Source organism: Homo sapiens, chromosome 6 (assembly GCF_000001405.40).
Source record: "Homo sapiens chromosome 6, GRCh38.p14 Primary Assembly".
Classification (NCBI taxonomy): Eukaryota; Metazoa; Chordata; class Mammalia; order Primates; family Hominidae; genus Homo; species Homo sapiens.
In genome coordinates, this window is record NC_000006.12 from 160,646,665 (window position 1) to 160,665,419 (window position 18,755).

Consider the following 18,755-nt stretch of genomic DNA (forward strand, 5'->3'; position numbering starts at 1 on the left):
CGTGGCCGAAAAACGATCAGAGTATTCTCCTTCTGCCTTCTGCCCAATCCATCTCTCTGGAATAACTGGTATGGGTTTTGACGTCTGTATTGTGGGATTGTGTATTCACATGCAAATGCATCTGTATCTGTCTAGTCTCCGTATCTCTCTCGGTAGGACTTCATATTCTAATGTGGGAGTTGCAACGAACATGTAGTTCTTCAGAGAAAACATGGCATCAAGGAGGATAACCTTTCCAGGTCAACTCTCACACTCCATGTACTCAAAACCTAGTGAAAAGGCTCTACCTTTCCCATGGAAAAGCATTGTGCAAATAGTATTACTGTCTGTCATTCCCATATCATGTCGGTCAAGTAGGTTTGTTTCTGCAAGACTTCTCAAAGCTGCCCTGGAAAACTTGCTCCCAGGCAGAATGCAGTATCTCTAGAATGGGTTCCTGGGCAGGACCTTCTCTCCTGCTCTCAGTCTATCCTCTGCTGTCCACAGCCACTCCAGAACTGGGGGATGAGTTGAAAGAACAGTGGGTCCCATGGCATAAAGGAAGATGGCAGGAAGACTAAGAGATCTGAAGAGGTCGGACAGCTATGGAGGAGCAAAAAACAATGAATTAGGAGGCAAAGCAGCTGAGGAGTTTGGGCTGCGGGGATCTTGAAGCATTCGCTCTTCCTTATGCCTCCCAAGAACGTTGCTCCAACCTCTCAGTATCCTCACATTCATGACCTGTGGCTGCCTGAGAAAATGGGAAATGTATTATGGGCCATGGGGATCCAACATTGTGTCTCTAGTGGCTCTACACATGTGGCCTAGTCTCAGTCCCAGACCCTCCATTCCAGGAAGCTCATTCAATGAGCAACTGGATGTACTAAGAGCCAGAGCTCTTTAAAGACTTTTTTTTCTTCCTTGGCTTCCCTCTTTTGAATACATAAAATATTGTTATTATACAACAAACCTCAGAGTTAAAAACTTTGTGATTGCTCTAGGATTTGCAATATCCCTTTGAACCCACACATTAACCTTTTATTAGTATTACATACTATCGTGCATGAGGTAAGAAACTTACAGTGGTACACTTCCAATTAATCCCTACATGATTTATGCTACATGTTCAAATTTTTACTTCTACATATGGTAAAGTTAAATATATTGGTATCATTTTGCTTCAACTCGTCAACTCTCATTTAAAAAGATATAAACGTTTGATCAAGAAAACATGTAGCATTTTCATCTACATTTGCCAATTGCTAGGTTCTTCATTATATAGGCTGCAGAAAGTTCCCTTCTTGTTCTATTCTTCTTCTCCTTAATTCCTTAGGGTCACCTCTTTTGTTACATAAGCCTGCTGATTCCAAAGTCTTACAGTTTCCGGTTTCTTTGTTTAGGGGAGTGCACAATGTGCATTCCTCCAACATGGATGAACTTCAAGGCATTTTATTGCTGGATGTAGCCTTCTCAGTTGAGCTCTTCTTTCTTACGTTTATTACTTTAATGTTATTCTTTTGTGTCCAGGTTGCAGTGTTTCTGATGGGAACACATTAGTCACTTGTATCACTGTTCCTCTAGCAAGACACAGCTTTTTGTTTTTCCCGTTCCTTACGAGATTTTTCTGTGTATTATGTCTTTGCCCTCTGACAGTTGAACTGCTATGTACCCAGTGGCATCCTATAATTGTCATTTTAGAAATTATTTTTCTGATCCATTGAGCTTCTTGAGTCCGTGATTTTTTAATCTTCTTTATATTTGGAAAATTTTCAGCCATCCTTGCTTTCAGTATATATTTCTGTTCCAATCTCCTTCCCCCTTTCTGTGACTTGCTTCCCACATGTAGGAAATCTTTTTATGTTTTCCTTTATGTCTGTGTGGCTCGGTTGATTTCATTTTTCAGCATTTGTGGATGTGTGTGTGTGTTTGTAAGCTTATACATGTTTGAGTGTGTGTGTATGCATGCGTGTGTTTTGTATGTGTGTATCTGGTTCTGTAGGTTCTATGCAATTATTTTTCATTTGGTATTTTCTTCTGAAATGTCTAACTAGATGGGGAGGCCATCTAGTAATTTTTTCATTTAAGACATATCTCTTAGTAGTTCTTCGATTTGGCTCTTTATACTCTTACTGTCTCTGGATAAGGTGTCTGTTGCATTCTATATTCATGTTTTCTTAAATCCTAGAACTCAATTATTATATAGTGATATGTCAAATTTTTATGCCATTCTAATCATTTCTGTCTCTTCTGGGTCTGTTTGTATTGGCTGATTTTCCTCCTGCTTGTGGGTCACACTAAAAGGTTTCTATGTGTAGTCAAGTTTTATATTTAGGCCTCACACTGTGGATACTGCATAGCTGAGCCACTTGACTTTGATGTTTACCTCTAAAGATGGTTGAGTTTTCCTCTCAGAGGCAGTTCATTGACTTGGACATCATTCTGATGCTTGGAGACTTCCTTTTCAGTTTTGCTATTGTTTGTGTGGAGCTGCCTTTATTCTAAGAATATACTAATTCTACTCCTAAAGTATGGCTTTTCCTGGGTCTCTACTGAATGCCCAAGATGTTCAGTGAAGTCTCTCTCCTCTGTGTGGTCCAAACTCCAATATCCCTTAGTGCTATTTGAGCTCTGTCATGTTTATTGAGCTCACTGTTCCATTGTAGTTGCTGCTCTTCCGTAGATGTTCTTTGCCCTACTTTCTTGTGGATCTATTTTCTGTGTACATGCAGCTTCATGTTTAGCCAATGACTCGAGGAGATTTCTATGCATATTTCTAGAACTCCTTTCCTCCACAAATCTGTTCTCATTGTTAGCAGGCCTAGAAAATCCTAGCCACCTGAATAATCCCAAACTCCAATGTCCCTCCTCTGTTCAGCAAGATGGCTACAGTTTTTTTTGGGCTCCATCTCCTGCCCTTCAGTGCAGGAAGGGTCTCCAGGAAGAAAACCAGTGCATCTGTTGAGTTGATCTCATTGTTCTCTCTCTCGCAATTCCCTTGGTCCTCTACCATCTATTGTCCAACAAGCGGAAATCATTTTTTCTTGTCTTTGGTAGTCACTTATGTGTGAAAGACTGGCCATGGTGTGGTCAGACCCCAGCTTCTGTCTATCTTCCCGCACTTTTTATTGTTTAGCATCTGTCTCATTTCTTACTTTCATCTGCCTTCCTGCCTTTGCTTCTCTCTTCCTGGCAACCCGTATTCCTTCAGACCACTGGTGCTCAGGACCCAGGGTGTTTCTACCCGTTGGAATAGACATAGATATAGAAAAAGATAGATTCGCCTTTCCATAGATATGCACATATCATTTACTTGTGAGCCAAGACAGAAAAGGCCAACACAACCTTCACTTCAGGAATTGGAGATTAGAATTATAGAATTTCAAGGGGTAAAGATCACATTGACCTTTAGTGAGTGTTGTTGAAGCTGACTCTGTCTAAACATTCTGATTTTCCATTATTGTGGCCTCACCACCGCCAGATATTCTCCTGATTTTATCAAACTCTCAGGAAAGAGAGCCAGCTTAACATTTCTCTTCTATCATACTCTTTGCTCAAAGTAATGTTTCTCAGACATTTTGCCATGCATTCTATGTGTGAGAAAAATTTAATCATAAGAAGTTAGCTTGACGCACACCTTTTCTAAGACAAATTTTACTTGGACCTTGTTTTGCTTACTGTAAGATTAATGACATACGCATTTGGGTAGTTTTCTGTGGTCCTATTATGTTGATGTGGTGTCATAGATGACCAAGCTTGGCAGGTCCTTCCTGTGACAGTGGTGGAGTACGTGCCTCGATAACTCTGTCCATCACCATGGTAGCAATCCTGGACCACATGGCTTTGCTCAGGTGCTGCTAAAATTAAAACAGAAGAAATCAAGCTGAATAGTTCTTAGAACAGAAAAAAATGTGAAGTCATTTATGACACAAACAGGAAAAAGTCTCTGAGAATTACGACCATTCTCTTCTCTTGATTAGCAGGCAGACAGACGTGCAAAAAACCAAAGGAATAGATTCATATCATTCTAGAACTTTATTTAATTCTTAGAAATATTTTATTTAAAAGTTTAGAGGAAGTTAACATATCAGAATTCTTCTCACCAGAAACTATGCTCATGTGCAAGCTCTTTTTTAGAAATCTCTTCTTAATGTTCATGAGGACCACAGGACAGGAGAGATCAGAGGGAGATACATTTGGCACTGCAAGCTGTAGGTGGTGATGGGCTGTCAGGGTCAAATATGAAAACCTTGCACAATTCCCTAGACCACTGCTCAGAAAAGCCAAAGCCTTAAGTTTCTGGGCAATGGGGGGAGAAAAATGGTTTTGCATCTAGCACCGCAGGCAAAGCCCTTCACTTCTCAGGGATAGGTAGATGATCAAATCTTATTTCCTTGGAGGAGAGACTGGAAATTTTCTTGTGCCCAGCATCCTGCATTGCAACATAGCAGACGTCTGCTACTCTTTCTCTCCAAACCCACCACAGGTTCAAGTTCCATCCAAATAAGGCACAAGAATACTGAGAATGCATTCCCTTCAAAGCCCTGCAGAACCTGACTAAGACTGAAGTGGCTCCAGGAGATACAGCATTTGTTTATTTCCACCAAAGATTGAGCATTCATTAAGAAGAAACAGCAGTTTCAATGGGGTTAGATTATGTGTATGAAGATATCCCCTCTGTAGTGCAGGCATGCAGTGACTGCTAAAATCTAATAATAGATAGGAACACTGAGAAAATTCTTCCACACCCCAGGCCCCACTCTAAGCAAAAGATAGCAGCAACCCATCACTGGAGGAATTTAAACCTGTGGTGCATTTAAGATAAAAGCAACAAGCACAAATGCCAAATTCAGTTCAACCAGTTACTAGGTTGACTCAATTGACCACAAAACATATTTTCAACAGAAGATGGGTGCCCATTTCAAAGCATAAATAATATTTACTGCAATCTCTACTGTTCCTCCATTTATGATACCCAGTGTTTGATTAAACAATTACAAGACACACCAAAAGCTGAAGAGGGAAGATAAGTCACTGTTAAATAATAAAGCAATCAAGACAGACAGACTCAGAAAAGACACCATCTGGAAACTATCAGTTTGGGTTTGTATGATACCTATGTTAATATGTTAAAGAATCTTGTGGTAAAGGTGGACAATATCCATGGATAGGGGGAGAATTTCAGCAAAGAGATGGAAACTATAGAAAAGAGTAACATGAAAATGCTAGGAAGAGATTTATAATATCAGAGATGAAGAATTCTCTGAATGCACTGAGGAGTCAATTAGACACAACTAACAAAATAATCCATAAACTTGAACATAGTCTACTAGAACTTATCCAAACCAACACAGATACAAAAAAAGAGTTCCTGACAAAAAAAAAAAAGCAGAAGAAGCATATAAGGTTTATGAAGCAATATGAATGATCTAACATTTGAATACTTACAGTCCAAAAAGAAGAATACAGAGAGAGAGAAGTGAAAAAAAAAACAAAACAGTAGAATAGATAATGGCTATGAATTTTACAAAAACAATAAAAATCAACAATCTGCAAATCCAAGGAGCTCAGGAAACCTCAAGCAGAATAAATACAAAAAGTTAATAATAAACAAATTATAGTCAAACTGTTGAAAAACAAAGATGAGAATATCTTAAAGGCAGTCAGAGAAAAAGGAACTATTGAATACAAAGAAACAAAGATCAGATTTCTAGTCAGAAACTATTCAAAACGGAATATAATGGAACATCATTGTTAAAATGATACAAGGAATGAAACTCTCAACCCAGTATCTATACTCAGCAAAATCACTTTTAAAAACTGAAGGCAAAATAAAGACTTCTTCAGACAAAGAAAAGCTGAAAGACAACAGCAACAGCAGTCCCGTGCTATAAGAAATGCTAAAGGTTGTTTTTCACAGAAAGAATGTGACTCCAGATGGAAATTGGGATCTACTGTAAAAGATAAGGAGCACCAGAAATGGTAAAATAAAGAAATTATTCAAAATATTTGTAGTCATAATCACTTTAAAAAACAACTGATTATTCAGGGTAAAAATAGTGTCAATGTATTATGAGAGCTATAACATAATAGAAGTAAGCCTCTATTACAAAGAGCAATAGCACAACATTTTGAGAGGGAGGAAGGAGAAGTGCAATGATGTAAGATTTCTATATATCCAGTATAATTCTGTCATTTGAAGGTGGAATGTGAAAAAATCAAAGTATATATTATAAACATTGTGGAAAATACTAAAACCATTAAAAATTAATTTAATAAGTAAGTCGTGGAGATAAACTCAATATAAATGAAGGCAGAAAAATATGAAAAAAGGAACAAAGTTTAAATGGGACAAAGAGAAATAACCAACTTAATGGTAGATTTAAATTTAATCCTATTAACAACTACTTTAATGCAAATGGTCTGAACATCTCAATTTAAAAGCTGAGAAAAAGATATACAAATACTAGTGAAAATAGAGCTGTGAAGGCTGTATTCATATCAGCACAAATAGACTTCAGAACAACGAATACTTCCAGAGATAAGAAGAAACATTACATAATGATAAAGGTCATCATCAAGAAGACCTAACAATCCAAATACACATGCCTAACAACAGAGCTTCAAAATATATAAAACAGAGTTACAATCTAAAAGAGAAATAGACTAATCTAGAGTTAAAGTTGGACACATCACCATTAATCCTCAGTAGTCAATAAAAAAAGAGAAAGACAAGCAGTAAGGATACAGAAGAACACCAGCAACCACCTTCACCTAAACGACCTTGAGAGAACACCCCGCTCAACAACAGAAGAAGACAGTCTTTTGAAGAGTACATGAAAGTGAGTTTTAGAACTCAATAATGAGTAATGAGTTCTGAAGTTGAATCAGTAATTAAAAACCTACACCAGAAAAACCCCTGGACCAGAGAGATTCCTAGCCAAAGTATACCAGTCATATAAAGAAGAGCTGATATCAAGCCTCCTGAAACAATTCCAAAAGATAAAAGAGGACAGACTAACTCATTCTATGAGGTCGTCATCATTCTGATATGGAACAACAAAAAAAGAAAACTTCAAGCCAATATCCTTGATGAACACAGATGCAAAAATTCTCAATAAAATACCAGCAATTGAATCCAAGAGTACATCAAAAAGCTAATCCACCACAATCAAGTAGGTTTTATTCCTGGGATATAAGGTTGGTTCAATGTATACAAATCAATAAATGAGATTAATGACATAAATTGTATTAGTCAGGGTTCTCTAGAGGGACAGAACTAATAGGATATATATATATTTTATATATATTATATATAATATATATTATATATAATATATAATATATAATATATATTATATATAATATATATTATATATAATATATAATATATATTATATATAATATATAATATATTATATATATTATATATAATATATATTATATATATTATATATAATATAATATATTATATGTATATAAAGGGGATCTTATTAAGTAGTATTAACTCAGCGGATCACAAGGTTCCACAACAGGCCCTCTGCAAGCTGAGGAGCAAGAAAGCCAGTCCAACTCCCAACGCTGAAGAACTTGGAGTCCGATGTTCAAGAGCAGGAAGCATTTGGCACAGGAGAAAGATGTAGGCTGGGAAGCTAATTCAGTCTAGTCTTTTCACATTTTTCTCCCTGCTTTACAATCTGGCCACACTGGAACTTGATTAGATGGTGTGTACCCAGATTAAGGGTGGGTCTGCCTTCCCAGCCCACTGACTCAAATGTTAATCTCCTTTTGCCACACCCTCACAGACATAACCGAGATTAATACTTTGCATCTTTCAATCCAATCAAGTTGACAGTATTAACCATCACAAGTCCAACTCCTTGTCAACTTGAACCCATACACACATCCTGAAATCATACATAATCTTCAAATAAAGACAATAATAAGGTCATAATTATGCCTAATATAATACAACTATCCTCATACAACCAGAAACGCACCAATCCCCAAACCAAAAGTTATTACATAAGGTTAACAATATTTAAATGCTGATATGAACAACACTTAAATGCTTAAATGCTGATGTGAAGTCCATAAATCTAAGGTCACATGATAAAGGAAAAATAAAGGAAATAAAATAAAGATATTTTCTTAGCACAAGTGTACACATGCATTTAGAAAGTGGATATAGTGCTGCAGCTGTCCACTTTCGGGTGGTGCCTGCATATCGTGCAGAACCATCTATGAACCAGTCCTTAGTCTTCCCTTCCTCTGTCAACTGATCATAGGGAACTCCCCATGAGGCCATTGGTGCAGGCTGGGGGAGGGAAGGCAGGGTGGCATGAGTGGAGAACATGGGCATTTGAGCCACTTCCTTATGTAACTTACTTGTGCCTTCAGGACCTGCTCAAGCCCGATCACATACACACCACTTCAATTTGATGATGAAATGCCGCTGTGCTGACCCACTTCATGGCTAGATGGGTCAGAAAGCAACCAGTTCATGATAGGCAGGTTCAGGTAGCATGGTGACTTTATGACCCACAGTCAAACGTTCAGTTACCACCAAAGCCCAATAACAGACCAATAGCTGTCTCTCAAAAGGAGAGTAGTTATCTGCAGAAGTGGCAGGGCCTTGCTCCAAAATCCTAGAGGTCTCCACTGTGATTCACCTATGGGGGCCTGCCAAAGGCTCCAAACAGCATCCCTATCTGCCACTGACACCTCAAGCACCATTGGATCTGCGGGGTCATGTGGCCCAAATGGCAGAGCAGCTTTCACAGCAGCCTGGACCTGTTTCAGAGCCTTCTTTTGTTCTAGACTGCACTTAAATCTGGCAGCCTTTCAGGTCACTCGATAAATGGGCCAGAGTAACACACCCAAACGAGGAATGTGTTGCCTCCAAAATCCAAATAGGCCCACCAGGCATTGTGCCTCTTTCTTGGTTGTAAGAGGGGCCAAACGCAGCAAGTTATGCTTCACCTTAGAAGGAATATCTCCATAGGTCTCATGCCACTGGAACCCTAGAAATTTTACCGAGGTAGAAAGTCCCTAAATTTTAGCTGGATTTATTTCCCATCCTCTGGCATACAAATGTCTCACCAATAAGTTCAGTGTGTTTGCTACTTCTTGCTCACTGTATCCAATCATCATAATGTCATGAATGTAATGGACCAGTGTTATATCTCGTGGAAGTGAAAAGCGAGCAAGGTCTCTCCAAATAAGATTATGACACAAAGCTGGAGAGTTGATACACCCCTGAGGTAGGGTGGTAAAGGTATAATGCTGGCCTTGTCAGCTGAAGGCAAATTGCTTCTGGTGGGTCTTATGGACAGGAATGGAGAAAAAGCCACTTGCCAAGCCAATGGCTGCATACCAGGCACCAGGAGATGTGTTAATTTGCTCAAGCAACAAAACCACAACTGGTAGAGCAGCTGCAATTGGAGTCACCACTTGGTTAAGCTTAAAATAATCCACCATCATTTTCCAAGATCCATCTGTCCTCTGCACAGGTCAAATGGGAGAGTTGAACAGGGATGTGGTGGGAATCACCACCCCTGCGTCTTTCAAGTCCTTGATGGTGACACTAATCACTTCAGTCCCTCCAGGGATGGGATATTGTTTTTGATTTTTTTATTTTTCTAGGTAGAGACAGCTCTAATGGCTTCTGTTTGGCCTTTCCCACCATAATAGCCCTCATCCTACCAGTCAGGGAGCCAATGTGGCATTTCTGCCAGCTAATAAGTATGTCTATACAAATTATGCATTTTGGCACTGGGAAAATGACCAGAGGATAAGTCCAGGGACCCACTGGAACCACTGTAAGTCAGAAATGAGCTAAAACTCCATTAATTACCTAACCTCCATAAGCCCCTACTTTAACTGGGGAACCACAATAACGTTTTGGGTACCCTGGAATCAACGTCAGCTCAGAGCCAGTGTCCAGTACTTTCTGAAATGTCTCATTACTTCCCTTTCTCCAGTACACACAGTTACCCTGGTAAAAGGCCAGAGGTCTCCTTAGGGAAGGATGGGAGAAAGAGTAACAGCATAAGTTGTCAGTAGCCTAGTGGTGTCCTTCCTCAAGGGGATCCAGCCTCCCCTTCATTCAGTGGGTTCTGGAACTGTAACAGGTTCGAGTCTGGAAATTGATTGAGGGCCCATGATTCTCTGTTTTTATAATTCAGATTAGTCTTTAGTCCATTCTACCTGGCAGTTTTTTGTTTATATAAATCAAGTAGGAATACAGTAGGTTTCCCATCAATTTCACTTCTAGGAACACCATGATTAATTAGCCAATGCCAGAGCTCTACATGAGTCAGACTATTCTGATGGCTGCTTTGCCTCTGCTGTCTATTATGGTAGTTATGCCCACCTTGCCTTTGATGGTTCAGTGCCAACACTTGGCCCCTGCCACCTCAGGATCCAATTATTCCCATTGTATTTAAATTTTGTAGTTGAGTGACTGTGGTTCCTACTGTTAGATCTGACATACAGAGAAGAGCAATTACGGGCTCTTCAAAAATACAGGTGCTGCTCTCACAAATCTATTTCACAAAGCTTCGGCCAAGGGTGTATCTTCTGGACCCTCCCAGCTGGGATGAGTAGGTCTAAAGTGACTAATCCACTCCACCATCCTAATCTCCCTAAGCCTTTGGATCACTTCCTCTACATTAAACCAAGGCATTTCCAGCTCACTAACATTGGACCATCTTTTAATCCATATTTCAGCTAACCAAGCAAATAAACTATTATAACTTTTTTTTTTTTTTTTTTGGAAATGGAGTCTTGCTCTGTTACCAGGCTGGAATGCAGTGGGGCGATCTTGGCTCACTGCAATCTCTGCCTCACAGGTTCAAGCAGTTCTCTTGCCTCAGCCTCCCAAGTAGATGAGATTACAGTTACGCATCACCATGCCCAGCTAATTTTTGTATTTTTAGCAGAGATGGGGTTTCACCATTTTAGCCAGAATTGTCTCAATCTCCTGATCTCGTGATCTGCCCGCCCCCGCCTCCCAAGGTGCTGGGATTACAGGCGTGAGCCACTGCTCCCGGCCCTATCAGAACCTTTTCTAAGTCCCCGAGCTGCAACATTAAATGCAGAATCCCTACTTAGTAGGGCCAAACCAATAAATTCAGCTTGATCCAACTCTATGTCCCTTCCACCATTATCCCTTACCCTTAATATCCATTCCCATGCCTGTTCTCCAGATTTCTGCCAATATAAATTAGAAAGCTTAAGCAGTTCTTTTAGAGTATAATGCACCTCCTCATGGGTCACACTCTGAACCTCACCTCTGGGGCCCGCAAGGAATTTAGCCTAGTTATAGGTCTAGAAGCATTCAGGGGCATTAGGGGTGCCTCTTGAGGAGAATCAACATTATCTTGCCTGGCAGCTGCCTCAGGGAAGGCCATCACTGTTGCCTCAAGCAGTGCAGGGTTTACATCCTCAGACAAAGGTGGAAAGGCTAATGGCAGCACGGGTCAGGGAGGGGATGTTACCACTACTGGGGATGGGGAAACTGTTTCTTCTGGCAAAAAAGTTTCATCAGAGTTCACAAACTCAGTGTCCTCAGCTTCATCAGGGTTCTCCCACACATCCCCACTCCAAGTTCCAGGGTCCCATTTTTTTCCAGTCAATGCCCTCACTTTAACAGTAAACACCTGGCAAGGCTGTGCATGCACCTCTTGTTGCAGATCAGCTACTCGCATGATAACAGCTTGTCTCTGTTTTTTCACAATTTCAACTCTTTCTCTACAGGAGTTAAAACTCTCATTCAGGGCAATCTTAGCAGATTTGTGGCTCAGTATCTGCTTCTGAAGGTGGGAGACAGATCCCCTGAGATCATCATTTTCTTTCATCTCTTTCTCCAGAGAACTTAGGAGCAATCAACCAACTTCATTATGTTCCTTGGTTCTCCACATATAGTCAAAGGTATTATGTATAGAGTCACTAAACTCCTTGCCTCTCATAAGTGATGAATCAGTAGTGTCAAATGCATTTATTTTGCATAACTCTCTAAACAATTCAGGCCAAGTACTATCAGTGTTCTCCATACTATTAGAAGTAGAGTCCTTAGCATTTTTTGGTCTAATCATATTAATCAGCCAACACCAGAAGTCCCAAAACCAATGAAAGAATTCCATCCTTAATATTCTGTTCCTCAAGAACCACTTCTGGTATGAAAATCTGTATTAGTCGGGGTTCTCTAGAGGGACAGAACTAATAGGAGATTATATATATATATATATGAGAGAGAGAGAGAGAGAGTATATGTATATATGTGTATATATAGTGAGTATACCTATATCTATCTATAGATATAGATATACTCACACAAAGGGGAGCTTATTAAGTGGTATTAACTCACAAGATTACAAGGTCCCATAATAGGCCACCTGCAATCTGAGGAGCAAGGAAGACAGTCCAAGTCCCACAGCTGAAGAACTTGGAGTCCGATGTTCAAGAGCAGGAAGGATCCAGCACAGGAGAAAGATGTAGGCTGGGAGGCTAAGCCAGTCTAGCCTTTTTACATTTTTCTGCCAGCTTTATATTCTGGCTCTACAGCTTGGGGGCAGCAGGGGCAGGGGCCTCAGGGTGCTTGCAGGGATGACACACTGGCCTCTTTTCCATAGGGTGGCTGGGGCACACTGGGGTGTGAGTAAAGCACTCAGGATCTTTTTTCCTTCCCTAGTCCAAGTACAGCAAGGGCAGTATGACTGCAGTGTTAGTGGCAGAAGGACTTTCAGTCACCTCTGGGAGCTTCACCCCACAAAAACACAGAGTGCAGCCAGTGGAAATGTTCAACTGAGTTCGAGGTGCCTGCACTGTGGGCCCAAGCCAGGAGCCTTGCCTGGTGAAGAGTAGCAGGTGAAAGCTCACAAGAAAGAGAAACTGGAATTCTTTCCCTGCTGTGTGCTGGAGGTGTCAGGGAAGTGGCCAGGTCCCTTCTTTCTCAAGCCCAAGGGCATTAACGGTGGTACTGCTGCAGCTGAAATGGCAGAGGGGCTGTGGGTTGTCTCTTGGATTTCCTCCCCAGAGAAGCACAGAGCCAACACTGACTAAAATGTTCAGGCAGGGCCAGGGTGGCTGTGCTCTGCCCAGTGAGGAATAGTAGGGGCAGGGACCAGTGCAGAAAACAGTGTGGCCACTTTTCCATAAGGCAGCTACACTGTGCTGGAGGTCCGTGAGAGTCCTGAAGCTCCTCGCTCCCTCCTGAGCCCATACTTTAATCTCAAGAGTTTGAGATAAACAGTGGTAAGGAAGAAAGTACAACGGGTACGGCTAATGAAACCCAGGAAGATAAGTCAATGCGTAGAAGTAATTCCAACCTAAAGAAATACTTTTTAAAAATCATATTTATAGAGGTTTGCAGTGATACTAAAGACAATATTGCAAATCATTATTAAGAATACAAGAAGTACAATGTTTCTTGTTTCTTTAACACCTGTGATACAGGTGTTTGATATGAATTCTACGTAATGGCTGCATTGCTTCTTGCCACCACCCAAAGAAGGTTGTATAGCACTCAGATGTATACTAACTGCAACCGTGTATCTCTTAGGAATTTCTCCTTTGCCCTCTTCCCTCCCTATCAGCATGTATCTAGCAGCATTCTGAAAAGTTAACTGCACAGTGAGCGACTGCTGGGCATCTTAAGGGGCATTCTTTTCTACCTAGGTATTCCCCCTCCTCCACTCATGTCTAGCATGCAGGACTTGGGTAATCTCTGGGGTTTCAGATTCTCCAGACCTCCATTCTCTCAGGGGCTTCCACCTCCTGCTCATATCTAGCTATCTGCCTAGTCTAACCATAAAATCTTAAATAAGAATAAATCATGTTTGCTCTTGATTGCCATGTCATGATAAAAAAAATAAGACACCATCAGTGGCAACTGTGTTGCCAAGATTGATGTTGATCTGCTAATCCCTGTGTAGAAATGAACCTTGGAGGCCATTGTTTGATTTCTTACAATATGTGCATTGGTTGTAACACTGTCACTTTGACAGTTGATAAGCATCTTCTGAATGGTCCCTCCTTTAGTTACAAAAATGTTGGTGCATGGATGATGTTGGGAATAAATAAAAAGTGAACTAAATTATGTTCTCATCTTGGGCAAAAATTAAGCAAAAAAAAAATGGAGGATATGAAGCTCCTCCACAAAGAAGGCCATTTTTGTACTAGGCTTACTACAGTGACACACCACTATTAGTTGGGGAGAATTCAGTTTTTCCAAGGTGTTGATAGGCATCCAGATTTCAGAGGAAATTGTAAAAAAGCAGAACCTGGGACCAATACTGCCCACGATTTTTCTTTGAGATCAAATCTGAGGCAACAAATCTGTTCAAAAGCTGCTTTCTGCCTGGTTGTGGCAAAGGGTGGCCAAGTGGGGCTCAGCTGTGTTCCCATTGCAAGGCTACTGAGCATCCCCTGTCCTGAGGCTCCTTAGGACACCTGGCTGAGCTTCAGCAGCCCTCTTCCAAGCCTGGAGATGCCAGCTCCATCTCTGGCACAAAATGTAGTGATTTTCACAGGGTGAGAGGCCAAAAGAGGCTAATAAAATGAAGATAGCCAAGCTTCCATGGAATTAAGCAACAGGACAACCTTGACCACTTTGAGGGGTGTGGTGGGGGCCACATGCAGATGGAGTGGGTTAAAGAGTGACTAGAAGAGCAGTGGGGGTGGCAGCAGGAGAGAAGCCTGGCTCTGAAAGCAGCGAGACTTCTAGGGAATACAGGGTCAGGGGAGGTTCTGAAAGATGACACACTGCAGAGAACATGTGTTTGTATGCCGATGACAAGTATCCAGTAGAAAGGCAGATGAACAGATTCTCATTCTCAGAAAGGCCTGTCCTGACCTCCTGAGAGTACACAGACCATGAGGGCAGGGCAAGGAGGAGGATGCACGCTCACTGTTTCATGCAAAGTCCTTGGCCACAGTCCACCTGCTCCCCACCTCTGTGACTTTGTCCTTCCTCAATTTAATATGCTCTATGCTGGAAAACTGGATTATTGAACAGGCATTGGCTGATGCATTCTGAACCTAATCCACTAAAAAGCACTTGATAGATATATCAAAATATCATTGAGAAATAGATATTTTAGGCCCATATCCATGTCTTCACCCCGCACTGTTTCTCATTTGAACTCTCTTTTCCAGGAAGAGTTGTGCTTGGGTAAATTCTATAGCTCACAGTGTGACTTCAAAACACACAATAAATTAATAAGGTGCTTCCTACAGTGAGTTCAGTTAAACATTTTGAAGAGTGTTTTTGAAATGTAGCAGAGCAGGCTACAATTGATATTCAAAAAGAGGAAACTTCCATTTATTTCCCCCTTTAACTAAGTTACCTGTAACTGTGTCATTTTATTATGCTTCATAGAGCATCACTGCTGAGATCCCCTCCCCAGCTCATGTTGCTAGGAAATATCCCAAAACAGAATCAATTTTTCTTTTTTTAACCTGATGATTTTTCCACAATCCTTTTGTTTCTCTGATTCACCTCCAGGGCTCATATGGCAATGGGGATTTAATAGGGTTTATTTGTTGGTGAAGAAACATTAAACAAATCTTTTAATAGGAAAAATACTTTTATATTATAGGCAAAATGTAGATGTATATTGCTACTGAAGTAAATGTATTTTATTAATGGTGTGAGAATTTCTTCCTCACTGTGGTGTGTGAATGTGTATGCATATTTGCATGTGTAAAAGACTTAGCAATTTGTGAATAGAAGATGTTTCTCCGCTTCTCACTGAGCATGGCTGTAAAAGAAACTTTTTCCTCTCCCCGGGCATTCCAGCACACATTGGAAAGATAACACGTCCACAGAAAGCCTGGCTTTCCAAAAGAGCTTATCAGAGAATGTGCCCCCCAGGTCGATTAAAACATATGTTAATCCTGTGGCAGAGAAGTTTGTTCTAGCCTTTGGGTGTAGCCTGCTGAATAAGTTCACAGTGATCTACATCCTAGTTTCCATGGGCTGAAATAGAATATTCATATCCCCTGCACTCCCTACACACACAGACATAGACACCAATTTCCCCAAAAAACTCTTTGCTTAATCTTCTCCTGCTCTGTATTTTCTTTGATATTTTCTTGAATGGCTTCCACTAAATTCAAATGTGTTTGACTTTAAAGTCAACTTGTAAAATTTTATCTGGTAATTTATAGATTAAATTGCAAGCATCTACCTCCCTTTCATCAGACTCTCCCTGCAGGGCAAGTTCATCTAACTATGTATGTGCTTCAAGATGGAACTCCTGAGTTCACAGGTGATTTATAAACCAAAGCATGCCCACTACAAAACTCTCACCCTCCAGAGATTTGCCTCAAGGGACAACACCCTGCTCACAAAGGCACCAGCAGGCAACTGCTCAACTACCTGGTGGATAAGGTGCCCAAGCTAGCATGGACCCCTGAATCCTTGCTCGCCTCCTCTGTTGCCTTTTAAAAGTGCCACTTTCTGCTCCTAAAGTGAAGTAGTACGGCAGGACTGCTGCATTTCTTCCCCTAAGCTAGCTTTGGAAGCAAATCACTTTCTTTATACCAGACTTCTCTCTTCTTAATTGGATTCTGCAAGTGGCAAACAATTAACCTGCTCTTCAGTTACATTGGAATGTGTTTAGATTTATTTTTTCAAATGTTGGAACAAAGATGAAAAAGTGAGAAGAGCCCTAGATTTTTTCTTGGAAATCTGGCTTAAATCCAGGTTTCTTTATTTCCTTGATTTGGGAATTTGGTCACGAGACAAATAACATGATTTTCCTAAGTCTAGATTTCTTTGTTTATAAAATGGGGATGACTATGCTACCCTACCTATACCATGAGCTAAATAAGCTAGTATTTGTAAAGGACACACACTTACATTCACAATCACACACGGTGTGTATGTGTGTATGTATGTATAAAAATGTGGGGACCTAACCCACTCAACAAATACCCTGAGTATTTGTTGAATCATTATATGCGTATATCATCTGGCAAATGGATGTGTATAATTTCTCCAGGGATAAGAAGCAAATGTATACCGATGGAAAGCCTTACTCAGGCCATAACAAAGAGAGAAATGCTGAGTCCCACTCCATGAACAGGTCAAGGAACCAAACATATTCAAAGAGTTATTTCATTGTTTCAACTTGCTAGTGAGGGGAGCATGGCACCTGAACAGAGATGATATAAATTAATGAAACTGAGAACCAAGCGAAGAGCTTAGCCATCCTTTGCATAGTTAGCTACAATGGCTATTTATTTTTCAGCCAGACTGGCCATCATGTAGGCACACTCTTTTAGATTAGAAAAATCAACCATTATTTTTTCTGCCCATTCATTCCAGCACCGTGACAGTCTTCACGGGGAAATTAAACTTATTTTTTTAAGAATTTTTCAATCATATACAAGATTTTGAACTGGGAATTTCATGAATCAAAAATTAAATGAATTGCACATAAAGCCATGGCATATGTATTTTTACTACATTGTGGGAGAAAAAATAATTCTTATAATTTAAAAAAACTATGTCTTACCTGATTTCAGAAATAAAAGAAGTAGAAGAACCACTTCCTTATGTTCCATTTTGGGACTGGCCAGCAGTGCCCAGAAAGTGTGTCCCAATCCCAGGACATTGTTGACTTACATGAGAGTAAACGCACCCACAAACCAGATAGTCAAATTAAGTTAATGATTCTCTCAGAGACCCATGCCACTGGCTCAGCAGGGTTCAAACATTACCTTGAATATAGAGTCTTATAAAATATTTGAGAGTGCAATGTCAATAGATGCTGGGAAGTGGTGAAAGCCATTTCCCCCCTCAGCTGCTCCACATTGCCTTTATGTCTCCTTACTCCTTCCCTCACCCCTAGACCTTCATCTTTCCTGATTAGTCTTGTTTCCTCCCCTCTTCTTTCATTCTCTTTCTTTTGGATAAAATAAAATCATAAAAGTAGCTCATATTTGCTGGTAACTTCCATGACCAGACCCTCTGCCAAGTGCTGCACATCCATAGCCTCCCTCAAGCTTTCCAACAGGCAGTGCTGTACGAGGAGGGGGCTGAGGCCTTCCCGAGGTTGTGTCGCTACCCAGGGGTGCAGCTGATAGACACAACCCTTTCAGGTCTTAGTTTACGAGCAAGCTAGGTATAAATGTTAACATCTCCACATCCTATACCAAACTGTGCCGAAATGACAACATAAGTGAAAATCTTTTATTATCTTCAAAATTTATTTATTCCTAGTGAACTCACATGTTTTCTGTAATTATAAATTATGTTATAAGATATCAATCCTTCCAGGAGGGGGTGGTGGCTCATGCCTATAATCCCAGCATTTTGGGAGGCCACGGCAGATGGATCACCTGAGGCCAGGAGTTTGAGACAAGCCTGGGCAACATGCCAAAACCCTGTCTCTACAAAAAATACAAAAATTAGCTGGGTGTGGAGGCACATGCCAGTCATCCCAGCTACTAAGTAGGCTGAGGCACTAGAATTGCTTGAACACAGGAGATGGAGGTTGCAGTGAGCCAAGAATGTGCCACTGCACTCCAGCCTGGGTGACAGAGCAAGAATGTCTCAGGAAAGAAAAAAAAATAATAAATACCAAATAAAATTAATAAAATATCAATCCTTCCTATTCTAGTAGTTGTGGCTTAAATAAATAAATAAATATTTTTAAAAATAAAACATAGGGTCGAGTGCGGTGGCTCAACTCTGTAATCCCAGCACTTTGGGAGGCCAAGACAGGTGGATCACAAGGTCAGGAGTTTGAGACCAGCCAGGCCAATGT

At 40.5% G+C, this 18,755-nt stretch overlaps 1 protein-coding gene across 1 annotated transcript in view; it reads right to left on the reverse strand.

Annotated features, from left to right (window-relative positions):
• Positions 1–17,611, reverse strand: part of LPA (lipoprotein(a)) — a 132,794-nt gene extending 115,183 nt beyond the window's left edge. Inside the window, exons 1-2 of the mRNA NM_005577.4 lie at positions 17,502–17,611; positions 3,674–3,833 (exon numbers count right to left, since the gene is read on the reverse strand). Coding sequence (NP_005568.2) covers positions 3,674–3,833; positions 17,502–17,550 — 209 coding nt within the window. The 5' untranslated portion in view covers positions 17,551–17,611. The remainder of the gene's footprint in view (positions 1–3,673; positions 3,834–17,501) is intronic.